Raw genomic sequence first — 8,630 nt, 5'->3', positions numbered from 1 at the left:
AAAAAGGCAGCTCATTCATTTGCTACTTTTCAGGAAACCTTTCCAATGTCGGAGAGCCGACAGGCACCAAAACACTCAGGCCAAGGCAGCGTGACTGTCTCAGATCATTTCCTGCAGTTTCAGTGTCTTCACGACTGTCACGTTGCCTCCCCTTTTGCACTCTTGTCAGAGACTCTACCTGACTTTTGTTTTTAGAAACAAGGTCGTGCTCTGTCCCTCAGCTGGAGTGCAGTGGTGAGATCATGGCCCACTGCAGCCTCCAACTTCTGGGCTTGAGCAATCCTCCTGCCTCAGCCTCTGGAATAACTGGGACTACAAGCAAGTACCACCATGCCTGGCTAATCTGTTAGTTTTCAAAATTTTTTTGTAGAGATTTGAGGGGGTCTCACTATGTTGCCCAGGCTGGTCTTGAACTCCTGGGCTCAGGTGATACTCCCACCTTGGCCTCCCAAAGTGCTGGGATTACAGGTGTGAGCCTCTGTAATCACCTGTAGAGCACGACAATGACAGGCCCAAGGTCATGGGGCTCCCAGGGCTTCCTGGACTCCAGGTGGGTATGGCCGTTGCTCTTTGCATGTCACCAGCAGCAAGTGTTTCCCAACTCGGTCTCCTTCAGACTCCCAGCCCCAAATGACTGTCTTGTAGTCAACCCGGCCCCTCTGTCAGGGTTGTGAGGTGGGCAATCCTCGGCAGCCTGGCCAGTGTCTGACTGTTTATTCAGGAACACACACAGGCAGGAAACAGCAAAGATCCGCAAACAGAAATCTACAGACAATCCCAAACCTCCCTATAGCCAGAAACACCACCCCATCCCCATTCCCCAGCACCATCTAGTTTACTGTAAGGCAGTTTTATTGAGCATCCAAGGTACAGAGAGCATTGATTTAGCCCCACGCTTTCAGGTGCTTCGGGTGATGTATAGGATGGAGATAGCCATACTAATAACCACAATAAGAGACAGAAAGGGACAAAGTGCTGTAAACTCAGAGGAGGGTTGGAACTTCATTTGGTGAGGTGAATCAGGCAGGGCTTCATGGAGGAGGTGACATTTGAGATGGGCCCTGAAGGTTGGCTAGATTTGGATATATGGGAAGGTCACTCTGAGTAGAGAGAGTGGTGGGAGCACAGGCGAGAAGGTAGCAATGCAAGGGCTGCATGGGGATGGAACGGTTCCCTTGATGTGACTATAGGAGCGTAGAGAAAAGGTGAGTTATGAGCCTGACCTTGAATGCCCTTGCTCATAAGGAGTGTAGATTTTAGTTTCATTTTCATTGGTCAATACAGGCAAGCCTTTGAAGGGTTTCTGCAAGAGAATGTAGATATTGGAGTTGGGCTGCACCAGTGCAAACTGGACTGGGAACTGGGAAGGGAACAAGTGGGAGGTACAGTCAGGACATTATTGTCATAACTTGGGCAGCAGTTACAGAGGCAAGCAAGGTGGAGAGGGGGTGGAAATGAAGGTAAGAATCCAGATGCCTGAGCTGTGATGGGTGTCCCTGTCTCCAGTTCCTCTTCCCCTTCTTTTGGGGGCATTTGCCCCCAAATTCCAGCAAAATCTCTCCTATTAAGGCCACCAATGACATCCACATTGATAATTCCAGTTGTCGCTTCTCAGTCCTCATCTTGCTGACCTACCAGCAGGCCATACCACGCTTGGTCTGTCCTTCATAAATAAACTCTCTCCTCCCAGCCAAATTTCTCCAGGGTCACCACTGTCTCTTGGTTTTCCTGTCACCTCTCTGGCCACTCCTCCTTTCCTGGATCCATCTCATGCTCCTGTCCTTGGACCCCTCCTTTTCAGTGCCACAGCTTTAAAGACCATATACACGCTGATGATGCTTTAGCTCCAGCCTGGACCTCCTTGACATCCATGATCCTTCCACTTTCTACTTGACCCTTCACTTGGCTAACAGATGGCTCACCTTGGTATAGTCCCAAAGGGGCTCTATCTTGTTTCCTGTTCCTCCTTAAGACCTCTGGATTTGCTGTTTCTCTGCCCAAAGCCTCATGGCTTGCTCACTCACCTCCTGGTGCTCTTTACCCTGACTCACCCCATCCAAAATTGCACCCTCCCATACTACCTGGATCCTTCGTCTGCTTTATTTTTTCCCCTGGCTTCATCAACATTTAACACACCATATATTGTACTTACATATTCTAGTGGAGACAACTAAATGAGAAACATATTTCTAGTGGAGGCAACTAAATGAGAAACATATAAATATCTCATGATGGAAGTGATCTTTCTTTTGTTTTGTTTTAATTGCTGTATTCCTAACCCCTACGAGTGCTTGGTACATGGCAGGCACTCAATGCATATTTGTTGAATGAATGAGTGAATGCATGAATAGAAAACTGAACTTTGTCACTCTTTCAACCTAGGGAGCAAAACCATGTGAAAGGTCACTGAGGAAGTTCCAGTGTGGATGCCTGGAAGATACAAGAGAACAACTCCCAGAGATTTGGAAATACGGAGGAGGAGAGGTTTAAAAGTGTGAGTTCAGATTGGGACATTTAGAGTTTGGGTGACTTGAGGAATGTCCTACGATGAGTCCATTAGGCTTTTGGAGACGAGGGCCCTGAGAGAAGCTGGGGCTAGAGATACACTTGGGAATTGTCCACATGGAGGTACTAACTTAAGCCATGAGAGGAAGAGGAGGAGGAAAAGGAGAAAGAGACACAGAGAGAGAGAGAGAGAGAGAGCTCACCAAGAACAAATTATTGGGGAACACCTACCTTTAGGAGAGGAGAAAAAATAGTAGGAGTATTTGAAGAGTGAGAGAGTAACCAGAAGATTGAAATGTCATGGAAACCAAAGACACAGTATCAAGACAGAAGAAATCATCGATAACACTGAAGGCAGCACACTACGGGGGAGAAAGAAGACTGGGAATTGGTGGTTAGATGTGACCACCTGGAGATCTGCCATCCCCCTGCCCACGTCCCAAAGAGCAGGTAGATGCCCTTGCGCACCAGTCAGGAATGCAATGGGGAGTCATGGAAAATTTTCCAGCAGAAGATTGACAAGATCAGAGTTTGCTGGAAGCAGGCTCACATGAGTGTAAGATGGCTGGGAAGGGGAAAAATCAGGTGGACACCATTTAGTGGGATATTGCAGAAGTCCAGACTGAGGGAGGTCTAGAAGCTAATTAAGGGCTGGTGGCTTCAATGTTACAACATGTAGAGCAGGACAATGACAGGCCGAAGGTCATGGGGCTCCCAGGGCTTCCTGGACCTCAGGTGGGTATGGCCATTGCTCTTTGCATGTCACCAGCAACAAGTGTTTCCCAACTCGGTCTCTCTCAGCCTCCGTAGCTAATATTTGCCTCCTATTGATTCAGTATCTAGCCTGTTACTTTTTAACTGGAGCCTGGGGTTCAAAGGCCTGACTGTTGTTTAAACACTCATTACATTGCGGAGGGCATGTCCCCCTGACAATCTCAACTCATGAACAAGCAAGGATCTTCTAAGTAAATATAGAATGCAGAGAAGGCAAGAGGGGGCCAGGATGGGGGTTGAGGTCATGGTGAGAGGGGTTGTGAGGGAGGGTGATGACCCTAGTGGCAGAGTCTTAGAATTGCTAAGAGAGCTACATAACTAGAATTCAAAAGACAAATCCCAAACTCTAACTTTCTGCTATAAACAATATTAAATACAGTCATGTTCATGTGTTGCTTAACAACTGGGACACATTCTGAGAAATGCGTTGTTATGCGATTTCATCGTTGTGCAAACATCAGAGTGTACTCACACAAACCTGGATGGCATAGCCTGCTACACACCTAGGCTATATGGTCCAGCCTATTGCTCCGAGGCTACAAGCCTGTACAGCATGTGACTGTTCTGTTCAGGCAATTGTAACACAATGATAAGGGTTTGTGCATCTAAGCGTAGCTAAACATAGAAAGGGTGATGGGTTGCAAAGGCTATGATGTCACTAGGCAACATGAGTAGGCAACAGGAATTTTTCAGCTCCATTATCATCTCACGGGTCCACCATCGTCTATGGGAGTCCATTGCTGACTGAGATGTCTATGTGGTGCATGACTGTATGTTACAACTTAATATCTAAAATCCTTTAATAACAGAAACTCTTTAAAAAATTCAGCATCTCAGAGCTCCATCAAGGAGTTCCTGGGAGTAGAAAATCCAGTCCTCAGTCTCTGGTCCCTTCACCCTTCAATTCTGTTGGACAAAGGGAAGTTTGTGTTGTCCCTGGAAGGTCCCTGGAAAATATTAGATGCTTGTTTTGTGGTGTGGGAAAGGCTGGAGGGAGGCGGGGGGTTCTGTCCTGTGGCAGCCAGAAAGGCAGTGCAGTGTCTTTTAAGTGCTGAAACTGGGGCTGTCCCAGAGATCAGGCTGTCTTTTCCCACTGTGCTGGCATCCCGTATTCCACTGGCGTCAGTGGATTTTGTAAACTTAAGTATGCCCCCTACCCTCAAAAACCTCCCCAGCTGGGCGCGGTGGCTCACGCCTGTAATCCCAACACTTTGGGAGGCCGAGGCGGGTGGATCTTGAGGTCAGGAGATCAAGACCATCCTGGCTAACACGGTGAAACCCCCTCTCTACTAAAAATGCAGAAAATTAGCTGGGCATAGTGGCGGGCGCCTGTGGTCCCAGCTACTCGGGAGGCTGAGGCAGGAGAATGGCGTGAACCCGGGAGGTGGAGCTTGCAGTGAGCCGAGATCGCGCCACTGACCTCCAGCCTGGGCGACAGAGCCAGACCCTGTCTCAAAAAAACAAAAAACAAAAAACAAAAATAAAACAAAAAACAAACAAAAAAACAAAAAAAAACCCTCCCCAATTTGCTGGGACATAAATGCCATAATTTTGATCTTTATTCCTTTTGATATAAACCAAGCATCACCTTTGGTATTTGTTAAAATAAAAATTCTTCTGGAAGGGTCATGTGTTTAGCCTATCAGTCATTCACATCTTAGTACGAATGAGTTTATTGTTCTTCAGGATGTGTGGGCAGTAGGATGGCAGATCTCCAGGTGGTCACATCTAACGACCACTTCCCAGTCTTCTTTCTCCCCTTTAGTGTGCTGCCTTCAGTGTTATTGATGATTTCTTCTGTCTTGACACTCTGGTTTCTCAGACAGGAGGTTTTGATGGAGGGGCAGTGAATGGGCAGTAGAGTTGGTGGTTAAATGATGCCTTTGAGCCAGACAACCTGGGTTCAGAGTACCACTCTGCGAGTCTCCTAACCTCCTAGTCTGTTTCCTTGTATGTACATTGGTGCTAATAATATCTACCTCTTTAGGCTGGTGTGGAAATATTATAAGAGGGTAAACTGAAGACCCCAGAAGCTTGGCAGATGGCAGGAAGACCACTGTCCCCAGGGGAAATTCACTCTGTAAAAAGATGCTTAAGGCTGAAGATAAACTCTCCACGGCAGCTTGGCTTATTGTTCCCATTTCCTTCCCTTTTCTTTTGAGTGCCACTAGGTATTTCCCAGCCCCGTGGGAGGCTCTGGCAGGTGGCTTGGAGGCTGCTCACTCAGGTGCAGGTGAGCAGCTCAGAGAGGCAGGAAGGGCTGAGGGCCCTGCTGGAGTGCCACAAAGGGAGGCTGTGGTGAGGGCAGGGTGACCCCATGGCTGAGAGCCTCAGGGCTGACCGACCAGCTGGGGCTCAGGTGAGCATCACAGAGGCCAGCAAGATGTCCCTGGAGGATGGCCCTGGAGTACTTGCGACCCCATTCAGGGGACAAAGAGCATGACACCCTAGGCCCGAGGAGAGAGCCCGCCTCAGCCTGTCCCATGAGGATCCACCAGGGACCTCCGGAGGAAAGAGCCTCAACAAGGAGTTTAATCTAGAAATTGAATATTTATCCCCCAAAGACTATTTTAAACCAAAAGAGGCAAATTACACTGAAAGAGCTAATGATTGAGGCCCCTGGCACTGCATGGAAACAGGGCCCCAGTGCAAGAGGAGATTGGTGCCGGGCAGCGAAGGCCCCGTTTGTGCCCATCTAACAGGTGTGGGCAGTCCCGGGCCCGTGCCTGTGGACTGCAGGCTTGTCTCGGCCTTCAGGGCCAGCTCCCCCAGCTCCACATCTCGGGGTTCACTGTTCGAAGATTGAGGACTGGAGAGTATAGCAGGCCCCGGGGTACGAGGGCCCTAATTCCCACCTACTGCTTTTTTTGCTCCAGCTTTTTGGATCTTGCTCCAGCTCAAGGGCTTCTCCTCAATTTTGAGGAAGACAAGGCATAACCCAGAGGGCATGGTGGGCTCTTGTCCCTGTCCTGAAAGACAAAATTTCTTGCGGATGTTTGCCAAGATATACTCCCATGCCGGGATGATGTGTTACAGGAGGTAGATTACGCTCTTTATTATTTTTCTTTTTGAGATAGTCTCTTGTTCTGTCACCCAGGCTGGAGTGCAGTGATGCGATCTTGGCTCACTGCAACCTCGGCCTCCCGGGTTTAAGCGATTCTCCTGCCTCGGCCTCCCGAGTGGCTGAGATTACAGGCGCATGCCACCACGCCTGGCTAATTTTTGTATTTTTAGTAGAGACGGGGTTTCACCATGTTGGCCAGGCTGGTCTCGAACTCCTGACCTCTCAGGTGATCCACCCACCTCGGCCTCCCAAAGTGCTGGCATTACAGGTGTGAGCCACTGCGCCTGGCCTACTTACGCTCTTTAAATTATCTTGCTGTCAACTCCTCTTGGGGATCCTTGGCCCCTTCCCTACCTAGAGTGCCAGCCTGCTACTGCCTGGCCCCTTGGCACAGGGCCCATCCTGCTCAGGACAGGTAGGACTGTCTCCATCCTTGCACCTTTTTAAAGGAGAGACCAGCTTAATGTGCTTGCAGATTTCCTGGGAAAACCTGGGTTTTCTGCCCGAACTGGGAAGCGGAAGGATGGAACTCTGCTGGCCGTGTCTCTGCTGGGGTTACCTCCAGGCCAAGGTGGTCTGTCCATTCCCCGCTGCCCCCAACTGCCCAGGCTGGGCCGTTCATGCAGCCTCCTGGCCTCCCTTCCTGAGCTCAATGTTGAGTAGCCCCTCTGCTGCAGACAAGCCCCTCGGTGGAGGTGGTGGGGTGAATGAGGTCCTGCCCGCTTCCGCGGCCCACGGGGGCAGTCGGAAGCCAACCACCTTCGCCCATCAGCCCTCAGGTTTCTAGCTGGGAGAAGCGCCCACAGGGGCAGCTGTTCTGGGTCTGTACAGGGGAGGCAAGGCTGCCCCAGCAGAGTCCAAGGCCACAAATGACAACAAAACCTGGCCCTCCAGGCCCACAGTACTGGTCATATCTGGATTGATCAAGGGCAAGAACCCCGGGACTCACATGAAAAAGGAGAGCGTTTAGACAAAGCAAGGCCGGCCCTGCAGGGCCACATATTCTGCGATCACGTGATTCGAGCCGCTGACACCTGGGCACTCTGCAGCGCAGAACCTTCTGCCTTTAGCCTTGGTACTCAGTCTGGATAAGGCCAAACAGGATTGAGAACTCGACTCCCTGATTCTAGCAACAGTATTTAAAACTCCCTAGGAAGGGTATTGCTTAGACACCACCCAAATCTGCCTTTAATCACAGGAATGTGGCTCTCACCCATCCTCTGGGCCCTATTCAGTTTCAGTCTGCTCAGTTTGGGGTTGTGCTTGCTCTAGTACTGTACTTCCAAACTAATTCGTCTGCAAGTAAGCCCTTTCCTTGGAGAGGAAAAAAGGCTTACTCCAAGAACTGATGTGGGGAGTGGGCAAAAGCATGTGGAGGAAACACGGTCTCCCCTCACAATTCCGATGGGGAACTGTGCAGCAAGGCTGCAGAGCTGTGAGGGAGGGGGCCTGGAGCCCTGGTAAAAGGGCATATCTGAAAAGGTAGTTTCTGGGGGCACCTGGCCAAGAAAAGGATGAAGTTGTTGCAGTCGTCATTTCAAACACCAAGGCAGTAAGACCAGCAGAGGACCTGGAAGAGCCACAACCCCTTGTGGAACTTTGTGCTTTGAGTGGGCCTGGGAGAACGTGACACAGGGACAGTCTCTGACCTTCACCCGGAAGCACGGAGGGCTCAGGACGCCTTGTCCCCAGGAGGCCCCTGTGAAGTGAGGGCCACTCTGCCTGGAGGTGACGGGAGGGCTCTGCGCTGTCAACACTGCAGGTACCCGAGACTTGCAGCCCAGCTGGGAACTTTGCAGAGGAAAGGGGAGGAGGCACATGAGCAGCACGGGGCACTGTGAAGTGGGCTGGGCAGGAAGGAACACAGCAACAGGCTAATTGGGGAGACTGACCTTTTTCCCAGTCTGGCCTAAGGTCAGCCCTAAAAGGTTCCCAACAGGGACTCTCCCTTCTTGCCCTCTTGAGTCCCCACTGGGTCACATCTGGGCACTGCGGCCTACTTACCAAGGACTGTGTCTTGGGTCTTAAGTAAACTCATGCTCAAATTTTTTCCAGCCCAGTTCAAGTCCTATAAATGATTCCTCAGAGATTCTACAGCCTGAGCTCTCTGGAAGCTGTTTTGAGAAGTGTTCTCTCCCAGAAAGAGGCTTCTGCGTTCTTACCTCAGGAACCCCTTTGAACATGGCTCTGAGAGCCAACCCCGAGAAAGCTAGTGTCAGAATTCAGGATACCCATGCTCACCGCAAACACTTTTACCAGGGGCTTCACCATCTCACAAGTGCCTAAT

This window comes from Homo sapiens, chromosome 18, assembly GCF_000001405.40.
Source record: "Homo sapiens chromosome 18, GRCh38.p14 Primary Assembly".
Lineage (NCBI taxonomy): Eukaryota > Metazoa > Chordata > Mammalia > Primates > Hominidae > Homo > Homo sapiens.
This window is presented reverse-complemented; position numbering follows the sequence as displayed.